The sequence below is a fragment of the Homo sapiens genome, chromosome 11 (genome assembly GCF_000001405.40).
Source record: "Homo sapiens chromosome 11, GRCh38.p14 Primary Assembly".
Taxonomy (NCBI): Eukaryota; Metazoa; Chordata; class Mammalia; order Primates; family Hominidae; genus Homo; species Homo sapiens.
Genome location: NC_000011.10, coordinates 76445377 through 76463500, shown reverse-complemented (window position 1 = coordinate 76463500; position 18124 = coordinate 76445377). Strand labels below are relative to the sequence as shown.

At 37.7% G+C, this 18124-nt stretch overlaps 1 protein-coding gene across 50 annotated transcripts in view, besides 3 other annotated features; it reads right to left on the bottom strand.

Annotated features, from left to right (window-relative positions):
- The window catches only part of EMSY (EMSY transcriptional repressor, BRCA2 interacting), a 108014-nt gene that overhangs the window by 89531 nt on the left and 359 nt on the right, over positions 1–18124 (bottom strand). For 12 of the 50 annotated variants that reach the window (XM_047427272.1, NM_001300943.2, XM_047427299.1 and 9 more), the window contains exons 2-6: positions 16493–16601; positions 11544–11643; positions 10113–10187; positions 5143–5318; positions 3416–3568 (exon numbers count right to left, since the gene is read on the bottom strand). In XM_047427272.1, coding sequence (XP_047283228.1) covers positions 3416–3568; positions 5143–5318; positions 10113–10187; positions 11544–11643; positions 16493–16562 — 574 coding nt within the window. In that variant the 5' untranslated portion in view covers positions 16563–16601. Of the gene's footprint in view, positions 1–3415; positions 3569–5142; positions 5319–8710; positions 8753–10112; positions 10188–11543; positions 11644–16492; positions 16602–18124 lie in introns of all 50 variants that reach the window. The other 38 variants (XM_047427269.1, NM_001300942.2, XM_047427298.1 and 35 more) reach the window with 5 other exon arrangements.
- Positions 17482–17776: an enhancer, noted in NCBI's record as "tiled region #9860; K562 Activating DNase unmatched - State 1:Tss". NCBI's record gives its function as "activates a minimal TATA promoter and a strong SV40 promoter by Sharpr-MPRA in K562 cells {active_cell/tissue: K562}" and the evidence as "EXISTENCE:reporter gene assay evidence [ECO:0000049][PMID:27701403]".
- Positions 17916–17985: an enhancer, noted in NCBI's record as "active region_5291". NCBI's record gives its function as "activates an Ori minimal core promoter by ATAC-STARR-seq in GM12878 lymphoblastoid cells {active_cell/tissue: GM12878}" and the evidence as "EXISTENCE:reporter gene assay evidence [ECO:0000049][PMID:35858748]".
- Positions 18026–18075: an enhancer, noted in NCBI's record as "active region_5290". NCBI's record gives its function as "activates an Ori minimal core promoter by ATAC-STARR-seq in GM12878 lymphoblastoid cells {active_cell/tissue: GM12878}" and the evidence as "EXISTENCE:reporter gene assay evidence [ECO:0000049][PMID:35858748]".

Below are 18124 nucleotides of genomic sequence, written 5' to 3'. Positions count from 1 at the left end.
CAGGCACCCGCCACCGCGCCCGGCTAATTTTTTGTATTTTTAGTAGAGACGGGGTTTCACCTTGTTAGCCAGGATGGTCTCGATCTCCTGACCTCATGATCCACCCGCCTCGGCCTCCCAAAGTGCTGGGATTACAGGCGTGAGCCACCGCGCCCGGCTGCCTTCCCTCCTTTCTTTTAAGACAAAGTCTCACTCTGTCGCCCAGGCTGGAGTGCAGTGGTGTGATCTCAGCTCACTGCAACCTCTGCCTCCCAGGTTCAAGCGATTCTCCTGCCTCAGCCTCAGCCTCCCAAGTAGCTGGGATTACATATGCCCGCCACCACAGTCAGCTAATTTTTATATTTTCAGTAGAGACAGGGTTTCACCATGTTGGCCCAGGCTGGTCTTGACCTCCTGACCTCAGGTGATCCACCCGCCTTGGCCTCCCAAAGTGCTGGGATTACAGGCGTGAGCCACCGTGCCTGGCCTTCCCTCCTTTCTTTAAACCTATGGCCATGTCAGGCCTTCTTATCTCCTGCCTGTATCTTAGCAACAATCACCTAAAAGATGTCCATGCTTCCAGTCTGTCCACTTCTATCTACCCTCAATCCTACTACTAGTTGCAAAATTTCACATCTCATCATGCCTATGCACTGCCTAAAATCCTTTAGTAGTTTTTATCTCCCTACAAGATGAGGCACAAAATCATTACCATATCATTCAAGACTCCATATCTTTCCAAGAACACAATACCTGTTACATCCAACCCCATGTACCCCTATAATCTTGGGATTCTGAACTGCTAACCATTCCCCAAAGCCACCTTAACCACATTCTATCCATCTCTGAGTATCCATATACTATTGTTCCTTGGGGAATACCACCTAACATCAATGACCTCTTCATCATTCTGCAATCATCATCCTACAAGCCATCTCCTTAGTGAAGCTTTCCCTTATTCCTCTAAGCAAAGCTAATCCACCTCTCCCCTAAGCTGTACCACTTACCAGATGGCAATGTGATTGTCTACATATCTCCCATTAGTAAGGGGCTCCCAGAGGGTAATGACTAAGTCTTATTGGTTTGTTTCCCCAGTATAGTGCCTTGCACATACAAAGTTAGGTAAATAAACAATTACATCTCAAACTAATGTTGTTGGTATGACTTCTGAGCATAAAGCAATAATCTTCCTGTTACTTAAAACTACATATTATATGAAATAGTTTCTTCATGTTTGAGATGCACTTTCAGTATTTTACTTATTTATTTATTTATTTATTTATGAGATGGAGTCTCACACTGTTGCCCAGGCTGGAGTGCAGTGGTGCGATCTCAGCTCACCACAACCTCCGTCTCCCAGATTCAAGTGATTCTCCTGCCTCAGCCTCCCAAGTAGCTGGGATTACAGGCACCTGCCACCACACCTGGCTAATTTTTTTGTATTTTTAGTAGAGATGAGGTTTCACCATGTTTGCAAGGCTGGTCTCAAACTCCTGACCTCAGGTGATCTGCTCGCCTCGGCCTCCCAAAGTGCTGGGATTACAGGCATGAGCCACCATGCCTGGCCTGGTGTTTTCTTTTCTTTTCTTTTAAGATGGAGGCTCACTCTGTTGCCCAGGCTAGAGTGCATGGCACGATCTCAGCTCACTGCAACCTCTGCCTCCCAGGTTCAAGTGATTCTCCTGTCTCAGCCTCCCAAATAGCTCGGATTACAGGCGCCCGCCACCACACCTGACTAGTTTTTGTATTTTTAGTAGAGACAGAGTTTCACCATGTTGGCCAGGTTAGTCTCGAACGCCTGACCTCAACTGATCCACCCACCTCAGCCTCCCAAAGTGCTGGGATTACAGGCGTGAGCCACTGAGCCCGGCTCCAGCCTAGTGTTTTAAAAATGATCAAAAAGTAGGTCTCTACAGTTATTTTAAAAGACCACCTTGGCTAAATCTGCAGAAATCAGATATAAATTTAATTAATAGTCCTAGATTCTGCGTTTTTTCTTTATGAACTAAAGCCTCAACTGTTTTTGTAGACTTTTTAAAAATCAAGTGAGAAACATGAAACACAGCAACTTAACATAGAAAATCTCTGCAGAGCAGACATAAACAATTATATAGCATGACTCATGAAATTAGTAATAAAATATAACCCCTACACCTTCAATTTTTTAACTTTTAATTTAAACAGGGCCGACAAAGACCTAGAATTGTTCCTGTCTAAAACAGCAAACTTTACCTCTAAGTTACAAAGAAATCAAGTTTATAACCATATTGAGAAAAATGAAAATCAAATATTAATCACCTCCAGTTGACAGGAAAAACAAAGCAAAAAATAAAATTTAAGAAGATTCTGGCTTCCTCAGTTTCTGTCTCTCACTTCCTCTCTCACCATGGGATCTCTCTGCATACACCTGCTCTCTTTCCACTTTCTGCCTTGAGTTGAAGCAGCATAAGATCCTCACCCAAACTTGGACTTTCCAACCAGCAGAATCGTGAGCCAAATTAACCACTTTTCTTTTTTTTTTTTCTTTTTTTTGAGACAGAGTCTTGCTCTGTCGCCCAGGGTGGAGTGCAGTGGCGCAATCTCGGCTCACTGCAACCTCTGCCTCCCGGGTTCAAGCAATTTTCCTGTCTCGGCCTCCCGAGTAGCTGGGACTACAGGCATGTGTCACCACGCCCAGCTAACTTTTTGTTGTTGTTGTATTTTTAGTAGAGACGAGGTTTCGTCAGGTTGGCCAGGCTGGTCTTGAACTCCTGACCTCAGATGATTCGCCCGCCTCGGCCTCCCAAAGTGCTAGGATTACACGCGTGAGCCACCGTGCCCGGCCCCTTTTCTTTATAAATTACAAAATGTATATATAAAGCAACATTGTCTTAACAGAAATTAAAAACAAAAAAATGAAAAAAAAATGAACAGGACACCAAACTGCTTCATAGGGTAGAATCAAGGAATTAAAAACTACAAACAAAAGAAACTTCAAAAATTACAGTCAATTAGAAATAAAGATAGGCTCTCTAGAATGTTTCACTGAATATAACAGCTGGATAATACATTATATAAAATAATCTAAGAAAATACTACAAAGATTAAAATTATAGGAGAAATATTGAATAAATTACATAAGCACATTCCTTCAGTTTCTATTCACAATATTTCTATTTCATGACAATCAAAAAAGTGAATTCTTAAGGATAACACAGTTCAAAGGCAGATTACCCACAGACAATGAAAATGAAGTCACTTCTGAAACCCCAGAACTGATTAAAAAAGCAATATATACCTAGTCATATGTAAAGAAAGGAATTCTTTAAAATCTTCAAAAACTAACCTACTAACAGCTAGTGGACCAATGATTTAATCCAGGAAGGCAGGTCTAATCAGAGCCTAGACTGCAGCATTTAGCCAAGAAGGCCCTGATAACACTGAGAATATCACTTACTTTTGACATAAACAGTACTTCCACTTGGCAAGACAACTACATTGGAGGCAGGACTGGCAGGTCTTGGAGACTTAACCGTTGCTATGCTGCCACTTGGAACAGGGGTAGAGGTTGGGGTTGACGTGGTACTTGTGTAGGAATAGCAAACCACTACTGAAGGAACGATAAAAAAGTTTGCTGTTAACTTTCACCAAAACTGTCCAGGCATACAAAAAAATTATTTTTATTGCAGGCCAATTTTAACATTTTCATGTGATCAGAAGTCAGAGGCCAGTACTAGGTATTAGGTCCACAGATTAAAAGGCATTAATAACCTTTCCTGAAAATTATCACTTAAATAGATTTTTCCCAAGTATTTAACAGCTTGTCTACAGGTGACATTGCTGACGGAGAAAAACACAGTTACAAAGAAATAAAGTTTAAAATTATACTGAGAAAAAATGAAAATAATTTTCACTCATGGCAGGAGTGGGACAACAGGCACTTACTTGTATTCCCTTTTAATACTAATAGCAGCACCAATGATATGGGTGGATAATTTTTCCCTAACCTTAGCAATTTCCAATGTGGCCACTAGGGAACAATCAAGGAAACGTTCTTTTCTATAAATCAACTCGCTAGTCATTGCCATCCAAGCAGCACAACAACTCAACTAAAATAATGACAACATCATATTTCAACCTATCATTCAACGAAGGGATACAGCTAAACAACAGTAAGAATAGGTTATAGGCACCATTTATTGAGTACCACACACTAAATCCTTTCCATACATCTTCACTAATTCTCACAACATCACATTCTCATTTTAAAGATGAGGAACCCAAGGCTCACAGAAGCTCAAACTTGCTGGAGGTCATACAGCTAGGAAATGACAAATTAAGATTCAAACATGGATTTGACTAGTGGAAACTCTGTATTCTTTCCACTCTACCTGAGCGTCAGTAGATGGAAGAACTCGATGGAGGCCAAGTTTATACACTGTCTTCCTCCAAATATACCTTTTCTCACCCTAAAACAGAGCCTGTCATGCATAAAAAAAGTGTCTTACTCTGTTCCATGGCCATTGCTAGGTAAGCAAAGACAATTCCCCAGAGTAACCTGACAAATGCATTGTTTTTAGGGTCATTGTCATGCAACATCAAACTAAACTACTTGAGTCAATCCAAATATGCTCTCTCAAATTTAATATTACTCTTGGTGGCCTCTAGAGCATTGGAGGATTTTTAAAGCATGTGTCAATTACTAGATAAATAATGATAAAACCCTTCTGCCAGGGAATGGATTCAGCACATTCATTAACCAGAACAAAGAAGTAGCATATATCACTGATTCCAGAAAATGAAAACAGCTTTATTTTCTAAAGCTATCAGTTCAGAATCATTTTTTAGTAGCTAAATGACTTCTGTTACCTTATTTATTTTCTAATGTCATCCATTAAGGCCTTCTATTCATTTTTAACAAGACACACTGATATCAAAAATCTATTCCGAGGTTTTTGCAATTTTGATGATTAACATAATTCACACCTTCGACAAAAGGGAGACTAAATTTTGTCTAAGGCTAAAAACCTGGCAGTCTAATTTCAGAATTAGAGTTTCCTACTATGTTTCATAACCTTTAAACACTAGAATAAAAGTAGATGAAAAATAAGACAACTTTTCTTGAAATTTTCTTGAAGATTCTAAGAAAAGTAATCTCTAACACAGGCATATTTTTCTACTCACCTTCCTTGCTTCCTGTTTCTGCAGGCACTGGAAGAGATGCATTATGCTGGATAGCTGCATTAGCAACAGCATTAGCTGTTACAGTAAAGGCGGTTTGGGGAACGAGCCGGGGCATCAGTGGTACCAATCGACGACCTTCAATGGACCATTCTGAAGAGCTATTAGGTCCAGACATACTAAACAAAAAAGAAAGCGCTGCTACAAGGGTTTTCAATCACTAAAAACAAATCAAACATATATGCTCAAACATATATAACTTTTTAAATTATAAAAAGTGCCCTGAGTGAATAGGAGAGGCTTTATTTTAAGCAAGCAAGATCAAAATTATGAATAATTATAATTCAAGGAATGTCACACACTTAGGTTCTTACACAGTTTATTCTATAATCTGAATCTTATCATGAACATAACTGAAACTACAAGAAATCTTCCTATGCCTTCTAAATAAATATCGGCCTTGGTTTCATTAACTTAAATCTGCTATCACTAATGAAAACTAGTATTTCAACTAATTTTTAGAAGTTAATTTTATAATTAACACAAGAAAGTAAAAAGCACTTATAATTTTAAAAGTCAGATTTTCCTTAATTAAGGATGGAATTCACTGAACCTTTTGAAAATTATCTAACTGCCTGCATGGCCAGAGGTTCTAAGGCTTTCAAACAAGGGAAACTGAGGCAGTAAACAAGGGAGCCTAAGTAGAAAAGAACAGAAGAGTGCTGTATATATAACCGTATGTGTCACTGACAATGTATTGTTATTATCCTTCCTGTTAAAAACAGACTAGATCTAACGACACTAGAAGAAACGCACCATTAATTTTATTTATTTATACCACCCTTCACTCTAAGAAGGAATTGAGACAATTCAACTCTCTAAGCAAACACCATTCTCAGTTTCTCTACCCAAAATTCCTGGAGCAAATTTTATTCCAAGAATCCAACCAGAGGTTGAAATATCAAAACGTAGTTGTATCACTTCTCTTAACTTGGCTCTATGAAAGACCCTGACTAATGATTAGTGCTGAAGTTTAAATTCACTCCGAAATAATCAATCTCTTCACACTAAATCTGAAATATTTCTGCATTTGAAACCATAGGTTCTTCAAACTAACTTAGAGTTTAAGACTCTGTATGTCCACCCATTCTCAGATTTAGATAAGAGTATAAAGCCCTTGTTAGTGGGCAGTGGAAAAATGATAATGCTAATAATGATAGTAATGATGATAGTTATCATTAAGCACTTATGTCAAGGATTGTTCTAAACATATTACATGTATTAACTCTTCAATCCTATGAATTTGGTAGTATTATTACCTCCATTTTACAGATGAGGAAACTGAGTCAGAGATATCAAATAACTTGCCTAAGGTCACGCAACTAATAAATGTCTCCTTCGACCAGCATAATCATACTACTGAAATTATTTGACAGATAAGTAGAAAGTATAAAATTTTTCAAATGGGTTTTGCCTTTGATGTATACCAACTGGATAGTGCTGTTGAATTACTACCAACTTTCACTGAATGGAATAAATCACTTTTACAATTTAAGGATTTAAGTTCAGCTCAGAAAGGAATTTCTAAGAGCCGATGAATCCAGCTGGGTTACTGTGGAAAATGTGTAAATTCCTTTATGGTTTAACACAGTCCTACCTAAGACAAAGGAAAGGGGAATTCCTAAAACTTCAGTAACACTCACAAATTTGTTATTATATAATCCCCAAGTTGATGCTACTTTTGAAACAAAGAATGGTACAAACAAGAAAGAAACAGAAAAGCTCATTGTTAGAGGAAAAAATTCTAAAAGCTATTCAGCATATTCTTGGCTTACTTTTATTTTGCTATCAGTTTATTATAATATCACTAATAAGCTTGCTTGGTGAGAGTTTACCACACAAATTAAGTGACATCTACACTTACCTGGTACATTGTTTAAGTGGTGGCAGAAATTATGGAAGATTAATAATTTGAAGCACATGAACATATGCTACTGAAAAGACAAAACTTGCAGTGCAAAAGACACAACTGCAACTTTTAGAAAGATCTATAAATCTTCCAAATTTCTACTCATGCAAACATGCTCAAACTTTGAGTGAAAAATTAAGTATCATGTTAGAATTAGATCAGAAATTCCTATTTGCTTAGTAATGAAGATGTAAGTGTAAATATGCATTAGTTACACAAGTTATCTAAACTAGATTTTATAGACTAAACATCTTCCTGGAGGGCTTCACTGAGATACTTTAGTGTGAGTATAAAAGTGTCTCTCTATTTATACTAAGTATGACAGGGGAAACCTTGCTCCAGTCCCTTTTCTGAGAAATCTAAGATTATACTAATGAAACTACCTTGGCCCACATATCCTTTGGTGTATAAGGCACCAGTAAGAAATCCTCATCCTCACACAGAAACTGACCCAGTATCCTGTGAATGTCTGAGTGATGGGGAAAGGATTAAGAGAGCAGAAATTCCAGATAGACACTTTCTCCTGAATCTAGAGACAACATGGGCAAGAGTGGTCCAATTAAAAAATCCGAAGCTCCTTGACATCCAAGGCGTTAATACTGTAACATTCTGACATAATTAAAAACTGAATTAAGAGTATCAAACTACTTAATAAGTGGCCTGGTGCCAAACAATAAACACGTGTTATGTTTCAAGCCACAAGAAAGGCTTTTCTTTGATCCCAGATATCCCACTCCTTTTGTTTCCCCCTCCTTTGTGCTCAATCTTCTCAGCTTTCTCATCACCTTTCAACCACATTCCTTCAGGCCTTAACTCCTATTTTGAGTGGGGGGAGGGGAGGGGAGGAGAAAGGGAATGCAGTCAGTTCAGGCGCATTCCTTTAGTTGTTTTTCTAGGCTTGGAGTATGAAGCCCTCCTATAGATAATCTTTGGAACTAGGCTCTGTTGCTACTTCTGAGGGGAAGAGGGCAGAGGAGATGGAAAGAATGAGAGATCTATTCCTTCCTCACCAATCCCCACTCACTGACCCCTTGAGCTCAACAAGTAGATAAAACATCTGATCCAACTAAAACAATAATATATTAAAACAAGAATATAGAAAAACCTAAGAAGCTCAAAATTATACACTGAAGTAAACTCTTTTCAAAAAAATGAAATTTATGTATTAAAGAAATCAGAAAGGAGAGAAAAAAGAGGAAACACAGGCAGATAAAAGCCAACTCTCAATTATCCATGCTGATGGAGAGAGGAGGGAAAGGGAGAGGTCAAATAGATTAAAGAAACTCATATATTATCCAAAAATATTTTGGCAAATACTTGTAAATTCTTCCACCAAACCTTTTCCAGGACAACTAACAAGTAGTAAAATGACTAATTAAAATTTTCACCTCCTCTCCCTTCCCACCCTCTGACTAGAGGTACTCCCAAGCAGCAAAATGGCTAAAGGGTGGGCAGTATTAGGAGGGGGAGGAGGGGAAGAGAAGGAAAGCAAGGGGCATGGTTAATTCATAAATGGAATAATGTGCCCCTGAATAATTGAGAGCTTCAATTTGGAAATAAATACAAGAAAAAGCCTGAAATAATAATAACCTATTTGCATACCTGTAACTTGGTCTTTCACCCAAATATAAGGATAAATTCATTCTTTAAAGGGGAAAAAAGGAAAAGGAGACTAAATAAATGTTATCCTTTAAGTATGAAACTGATGCATCAACTTACAACTAGTTGCCCCACAATACCTTTCCAATGCTTCTACAATACTAATTTGTTTCTAAGTGCCTCTGAATGCAAGCTAAGGTTTACTACTTTATTCTCTAGCACATAAATTTCCTATTACTAGTTCTCAAATTAGAATCTAGGCGCAGTTACCATTACTTCTAGAGCACCCCAATTCAAAAGCTTAGAGCAAATTAAAGAAGGAACACATTGACTAATATCTGAGTGTTTCAACCATGTTAGCCTAGCAACTAGATTACTAAACATCTCTAATAGAAAATTCCCAAATTTCTACAGTGCATACCTACCACTGAAGAATCTCAAAATTCCAGAATAAACAGCTCAACCTTCAAACTACGTTGTTGAAAAGGTAGCACCCCATTTTATGTTAAGTAAAATGAGGGACAGTGAAGCACAAGATGAAGCTCTTTGGGGTCAATTCAAATATTGCCAATTGACTTAAATACAATGTTTAAGTTATCACATTATGGAAATGCACTGAATTTTTCCCTTTAGTTTTATTTAACATTAAAACATAAAAATAAAAAACAAATGAATTATACTATAACATATTTTATGAAATGTTTTATCATCTTGTACAAACATTTAAAGGCTACTTTCTGTTCCTTTGTATTCTTTAGGAGGCACTGTCTCCATACATACTCAATTAAGGCTTAATCCCTGCCCTCAATCCTCTACCACCCTCCACCCCTCCTCTTAAATAGTTATAATGATCAGAAAACAATTTGGTAAGAATCTTTAATCGTTTTATTTTTTTGGCTTTTTAAAAATAAATTAAGAGATGTTATATTCATATTTCTTAAAGACAGAACACAAATTTTACATTTTTTTCTGAATCTCAAAATACATGAAATAATGAGTCAGATATCAAAAAAGTTACAACGCCTATTTATAAGGTAATAACATATCAAATACCATTACAAAGAACCTCTAAAGGGCTTTCAATTTTAGGGGTCACAATACTTTGTTACTGAACTTGGCCTCAAGTAAGTGAATCATCTGCTAAATTGTGGTGATTTTTAGTTAGACAGAGATTACATTGTAACAGGATTTGACCTGAGTACTTAAAGCTTGCCTAACCAAATGCAAAAAAAAACCCAACTGAATAAACAGTTAATATCACTTTTACTGCTATGATCAGGATCCCTGAGTATAGAGATATTGTTACTTAAAAGACTCAGGAATCTGCTACACAATAGGAAGACTGTTTCAAAACTGTGTTATACTATGTCATAAAAAATCAGGGATGGTACGACTAATGGCTTACTTATGTGCAATTGTTGTTAACCGTTCATCGTTTACTGCTCTCCGAACTTCAGCACGGTGGCGTTCTGTTGAGATGCTATGAAGAAAAATAGCCATTATAGAACTCTGCCAAGCAGGCAGCTCTTTCTATACTTTCATTAATGTTTAAGTCAACATTTTTGGGGGGAGAAGGGGGACAAGATTGCTTTGTGAAAAGATATAGACAGGAGTCTAATATATATATCTTCAAATGCTTTAACATCTTAGAAAAGGATTCATACTAATTCTGTGTAACTGAAGAAATATTTAGTTGCAAATTAGAAATCATAAGAAGACAAATTCAGCCTGATATCAAGGTATTACTTCCAAATCTCAGAAATGTCAGACCATGGGTAAGATTAGCAGAGCTTCCTGCTATCTAAACATGCAAACAGATGCTGAATGGCTTCCTAATTGTGACTGCTGAGAAGAGGATTTTGTCACTTACAAGAAAGTTTTCTAAGGTCTTTTCTAAGGCTTAGGAGTCTATAATTTAATGTTCAATGAATATAATAAACAAATGGAGTGGCAAGATAATCTGTTTCCTGTGGCTATACACTATACAACTTAACACCAGGGTAATATTCCTTTATTATTCAATACTTTAGCTGCATATCTTCTACATTACATTATGTTACCAATGGTAAAAATGTGCTTATATTAATCCTGATTAAACACATGTAAAGTTAATAATAGTAAACAACTTTTTAAAAGGTTATACCCATTCCATTCATAAATACTCAATAAAATGAATACCACTCTTCAAATTGTATTCCATACTATTTAAGCTAAATCTCTAATATGGACCAAAACAGAATTAAGAGGCTACAAAACAGAATTTATGAGAAATATAAACAACAAACAAATACAAATTGTTAACTATGAAGACAGTAAGATTGAGAATTTGGCTTAATAACATCCCTATATTAATGTTAAGTAACAGGAAGAGCCTCTTCCATATTTTCACTTAAAAAAGACTATGTTTAAGGCCATGACCACATAATCACTACCCATTTATGTAAATTAAGGCATCTTCCTCACATCACCTCTTCCCTCCAACAAATGCCACTCTAGATCATCACATCCAGTTACTGCTCTTCTTTCCTTCACCTATGTCAAAAGCACCTCCCTTATCCAGGTGGGCTAAAAGTAAGATAAACTGCCTTCAAGTCTTTCTGAAGAGTTTGCACGCTCTTCATTCTGGATTATATTCATTCTGGATTACACAATAAATGGTAAATTATACAATTTTCTGTAACAGAGCACACAACTGGGATGGAGTCTCTTAGCACCAACAATTTGAACACCTCTGTTCTTCAACTTAATTTGACAGTTACTTAATTTGAGAGTGATAAGTAATAAAATCCCCCAAAATGAAATTTCTAGAGTCTCACAAACATTTACAATAATTTACCTAAGAACTTTTGATAGTTCTCCAAGAAGATCTTTCTTTTCCTTGGTGAGATCCCCCTGTGCCCGAAGTGCACTGATAACTCCAGCATATGCCTCCAATTCTAAAAGAAGAAAATTATTTTATCAAGATAGGCCTTTAATATTTTAATACTATGGCTATGTATAGTGAAACTTCAGGGCAAAAAAACTAAAAATAATTAAATAAAAATATTGTTTTAAATTCCTTTCAAAAATTTTATCTAATAACATTAAAATGTGACTTTTATAATTTTATATTTTGTTTTTCATTGCCTCACAGAAGTCATGTATATAAAATGTTTAGGTAGAAAAATCTAACAGTAGATATTTTGTTTCACACATTGTCACTAAAAAACATATAACACAAATGATACCAACAACTGGGAATAGGCACCAACTGATGTAACAAGGCTGAGACGTTTTCAGCATTACTAAAAGGTATCTTCATTAATCAACTCTTAAAATAATTCCTTAGGCTTGCCTAAGAATTCAAACTATATTCTACCTCCCTCCTGTGTAATCGAAAGTACTGTAAATAGTATGCAATGGAAAAAATATTGGAACAAAATATTCTGACTCCAGCACTGCCACTTATTAGTTATGTGACATTCAGCAAGTCTTTTCTCATCTCTAAACCTGTTTCCTTACCTAGAAGGGACTTTGTAGGTACCCTCCAGAAGCAAGATCCTCCGCATCTATAAAAACTATCATCAAAATGACTAATTGGGAAACATAAACATGAAATGATCTTGCAGCAACTAGGACATAATATACTGAATCCTAATACTAGACATCTTCATTGCACTCTCTCCACAGAATTAACCATTAAGAAATAAAACTGTCAGGCCGGGTGCAGTGGCTCATGCCTGTAATCCTAGCACTTTGGGAAGCCGAGGGAGGCAGATTGCTTGAGTCCAAGAGTTCGAGACCAGTCTGGGCAACATGGCAAAACTCTGGCTGTACAAAAAAAATACAAAAAATTAGCTGGGTGTGGTGGTACACACCTGTAGTTCCAGCCTCTCAGGAGGCTGACGTGGGAGGATCACTTGAGCCCAGGAAGTCAAGGATGCAGTGAGCTGTGATCATGCCACCGCACTCCAGCCTGGGCAACTGAGCGAGATCCTGTCTTAAAAAAAAAAAAAAAAATCTGGCCAGGCTTCATGGCTCACACCTGTAATCCCAGCTCTTTGGGAGGCCGAGGCAGGAGGATTGCTTGAGCTCAGGAGTTCAACACCAGCCTGGGCAACATGGCAAGACCCCATCCCTACAAAAAATTTAAAAATCAGCTGGGGGTGGTAGTGCATGCCTGTGGTCCCAGCTACTCAGGAGGCTGAGGTAGGAGGATCACTTGAGCCTGGGAGGTTGAGGATGTGGTGAGCCATGTTCATGCCACTGTACTTCAGCCTGGGTGACAGAGTAAGACTCTGTCTCAGAAGGAAAAAAAAAAAAAAGGAATGTCTGTTCCAACCAAATGACCCTAAGTTTAAACATCCTGCATGTTCAACCTGTGTTGGATACTATGTAGACATTTCAATGTGGTGGTCACTCTTGAAGGACAAAGCTCTGCTGCTCAGAGTAGTGAAGGAAATAGTTAGTTTCAGGAAACATGTTTCAGCTTTTATCGGACCCAGAATAGAGTCCAGAAAAAGCATTAGGGATAACCAAGAATGCAGTATACTCTAAATGTTTATGCCTTCCCCCATTTATGAAATATTTTATTCAACAGATCAGTATTGAGTCCCATTATATATACCAAATGGTGCGCTAATCCTGCCCTCAGGGAGTTAAGTGCAGAAGAGAAATACATCATCTAGCGTAGAAGCAGAAGCTTTAATCAGAAAGAGAATTGTGTGCCAGGCAGGCAGGGAAAAAAAAAAAAAAAAGCAAATGTACAAAAGAAATAGAGTAAAAGAACAGATAGTTTCATATTATTCCAGTAACTTCCAGTAACAGTCAGTAACTATGTTTGAGAGTTTTATACTAAGGGCAGTAAAAATATGTCTGTACTTGGATAGTCCCTAACTCAAACCAAACTACTAATTGAACATTACTGCTACAAGGTATCATGGAGAATATTTCTAGGAACAAAATAAAATCCCTATCCTCAAGGTGATTAAAATCCAACAAGGCACCTAAGAAATATATCCAAATAACTATTTTAAAGATTTTAGTTCACACATGGAAGAGAACAGAGAACGGTAAAAATGGAAAAGTAGTTTGTGGCCAGACTGAGAAAAGCCTCTATTTCCAGTCTAAAATGTTTTTATTTGATAGGACTCAGTAATTGATTGATTGTGGGAAGTAATGACAGAAGGCAGTCAGATTTTGCAGCCTGCAAAATGTTTAGGAGAATGGCAATGCCATAAAAAGAAATGAAGAGGTCAAAGTGAGGGAATAGTTTGAGAAAAATGAAAAAGAAGTTGACACTTGTGACCTGTGGAATTTATGATGATCAAGACATTACTTCAGAGAAAATAAAATTAACTAAAGAAATACAACAAATATTTCTGACATTTCAAGTCTAAGAAGTCATGTACAAAATCAAGAGATGGCAACCTCACACACACAAAACTGGGACTCTGAACACAGTTACCACAGCTATAGAATCCACATCACTTCCTCCTCTTCACAAGAAATTCACTCATTGTAAAGAACCCTATTAGCTTCCCAACCTCCTTCACATTTGTTGATGTCCATTTTGATGGGTATCCTTAGATCTTCACATACCTCAAATTTAGTTGAATTTCTGGTATTATTTTTCAAGCAATTCTATCACAGTGTTAATACAAAAGTAGAATAAAATAACAAACACATATGAACATTCCAAAAACGAAAGATTTGCCAAACCATTTATATAAAGCCCTCAATTTGGTCCATTAAATCAGCCATTCAAATACACTATAGTCCATAAAGCCCCGTGTTGGAGCTACAGCTCAGGAATGATCACAAAAATAGGGAAGGGGAGAGGCAAGACAGAGAGAAGGAAGCATTTATCTAGCACTGACACATTCAGTATATATAAAGAAATTCTCTATCCCAATTTCTTTATATGTATGTAAAATCTAAGTATTTAACATCTTATATTAAAATGATTTATAACTATTTTTTAAAGGATACAGCTAATTTTTAAAAACTGTATGTACCTTTTCTAAACTTTGGACCTAGAGTTAGCATGTGAAGACAATTCAAAGGTTTCATTGTTATGATAATAAGCCAACGGGTGGGGAGGAAGTCTTTGGCAAATCACTATCAAAGCTCACCTCCCAATATGAGGGGTCAATGAAGATGATATTACCATACGAGATGACTGTTTTCTTTTATATAGAAGCACTCTGCAGCAACATTACCCACACAGCTCTGATTAAATTAGGAATAAATTTAGACTTAAAGGTTACCATTTTTATATTTAAACATAATCTCTCAATTCAAAGGCCCCCAAGCCCAGAAACCCCAATTCAATCTACTGTCTTTGTGATATGTTCTGCAATTTCAGCTATCAAATAAATATGAGTCCAACTTTATAATCGGCAACTAACAAGTTATATTAATTGTATGCAAGTGTAGAAAACTATCTTCAGATTAGGACTAAAAGTTTGGTTAAAAAAAAAAAAGATTGACATCCCCCACACCCTCTCCAAAAACAACTCTCTTAGACTTGCTTTAAAAGATGCTGCTAAAAAGTGATTTGAAATCCTCATAGTGGCCTTGGGTGGAATAAAAAGGACAGGCAGGGCCAGAGCAGCTATGATTCTATCTGATTTACAAAGAAAAATTCCCAACAAAGATTTACTATGACGGGCCCTTTATGTATACTGTTAACACACGTAACAAACTAATGAGGCAGAGAGTGTTATCCTCTTTTTTTTTGTTTTAACAAAACTATCAACAAATTTAGGAAGAATAAATAACTTGTCCTTGGTCACATGGGTCATTTGTAATAATACCAAGACCCCAGGTCTGTCTAAATTCAAGACCTATACTTTTCCTTTAAAATCACAGATATCTAAATAATGCATATCCACTGCCAAAACATTTAATCTTCTTTTTCAAATTATTTTTTTCAATTATTTCATTTATTGTGCTAGCCAGAGACTACAGTGGTAAATAAGACAAGGTCCTCATAGTCTAAGGCAGCATTTCTCAACCAAAGATCCTCATTTGAACTACAGAACACAAAATGATTTGAGTAATAACTCTTTTTCTCAATTTTCCCAAGGAAAGTAATAACTAATAGCACTCTAGATGCACAGGGCGAAGTTAGTTCTTTACATACAATGGATACCTTAGCATTAGGGTTTAATTCTTTCCCTCAATGCTGGTTGAGAAAGGCTGCTGTAAGGGAAAAGAAACACTAAATAATAAATTACAAGCATAAAATGTGTTTTATTATTGATAGTAAAATATAATTTGAAAAAGTGAGCATGGCTTACATCAACTTAGAATTCAGAAATAGTATGTAATTGACACATACAATCATGAAGGTTAAGAGTATGTTAAAGTGAGACTGAAAGCATACTCCCTGGTTCAAATACTGACTCCATGTCTATCACCATTACCTTGGCTTCTAAGCTTCATCTGTAAAATGGAGACGAGACAAAACAAACAAACAAAAAACACCTACCTTTTAGGCTTTCAAAGGACAAAGCTAATTCTTAAAATATTTAAATTAGATGTTGTATAAAAAAGACTCAGAATAGCCAAGTAGCCCTCAATAAATCTTAGCTACTAGTATTATTACAATTCACACACCTACTATTTACAAAGCACTATGTTAGGCACTGAGGGAAACAACAATGAGTAAGATGGGAACTGTATCTCCAAAGAATTTCTGATGTAGCGTGAGATATGACATCCATGCAAACAGCTATGACCTAGGCAGAAAGGGAAAAAAGGTATCAGAGAGAGGTAAAAAACAAACAATGAACGTCATACCCAATTTTCGAAGAATTCTTTTGCATTCATCCCTGCTGAGATCCAGAAGGGTTGGCCACACAACAGGCATTGCTGCTTCTGTTTGGTAGCCCCAAAGAGCTTGTCCTCCCTACCAGAACAAAAAAAAAAAGTCAAATTACCAAAGTACCAAAGTACATTCAAGGGGCCACTCACCTGGAGATCCAGTCACAGGCTAAGAAGTAAACCAAAAAGATATTACTATTTTACAATCCTTTCTCACCACCACACTTTCCAACTTTTGAGAAATCAAGAATTAAGTCATTTGAACTATCACAGTGGAAAGAACACAGGCTTTAGAGCCAGACACCTCTAGGTTTCTAGTCCCAACTTTTCAACTTACTGGTTAAGCCTAAGCTTTACACATCTATAAAACAGAGGTAATACCACCCAGTTTGTTACGCGTATTAAAGAACACTATATATAAAGTTCTTTCATAGTGGCTGGCATTTCATTTAATAAACAGGTGGTACTACCAACCTGGGGCAAGTTGACTCCTGTCAGCTTCCTCATTTATGAATTACATGAGATAAAATTTGTAAAGCTCCTAGCAAGTTAAAGAAACTTAATAAATAACTCCTCGTGCTCGCTTCAGCAACACATATACTAAAATTGGAACGATACATACATATATATATATACACATATATATATACATATATATATACACACACACACATATATATATACTCTCTCAAGTCTTAATGGAATATGAATTTTGATCCTGTAGTTATTAAACAGCCATTTACCAACAGTTGAGCTGCCAGGAACTTACTTAGAACTGGGAATTTCCTAGTGTAAAAGACAAAAAGACACGGCTCTGGGGGCACGCGCAATACCTGCTTAGCACAGAGTAGAGCCGCTCTAAGTATTTGTTAAATGGGTAAGTGAATGGTTGACGCGACTGAGCAAAACGAATGGATGAATGAATGAATGAACGAGCTCACTGTCTAGCCTAGAAGTCAGACACCGAACCGAAATAACTGCTATATCCCGTTCCAGGCGCTGGGGCTGCTAACTCCAACTCTGTGTCCCGAGGTGAGCCCCCCTCCCCCTACTTCCCATAGTCCTCTCAGCTCAGAACAAACCCAAGGCAAGAAGAACTGGACTGCGCGCCCCAGCCGGCAGTATGACATAAAGAAAAGGGGTGGGGAGGAGGAAGAAGGGGCAGAGCCAAAGGAATCCTCTCCCTCCACAAGCCAGTCCCCGCCTCCCGACAGGATCTTGGAGGCGGCCGGCGACTGCTCGAACCGAGCACCACGTCACGGCATCCCGGCGCGTCCTAGCCAGGGGACCCCAGAGCGGGGCCGCAACGCATCGGAAACCCGGGCAGTAGTTTCCGGAGCCCGCTCGGGGAACCAGGATCTTGTAGGATCCTTCCCCACTCAAGTGTCAAGGAGACAAGCCCGCCCCGCCCCCTCTCCAAACACGCACTCCCTAGCAGCACCACAACAAGAGCAGCCAGCCCAGGCTCCTCACCCGGACCTCTCGGCGCCGGTCCCAATGTCAAGTCCACGACCCAAGCCCCTCTGGGCCAGTAGCTGTTGTCAGGGGTCCCGGCCGGCACCCGCGCCTCACTCCCTCCCCAGCGGAGAGGACAACCGAGAGAGAGTA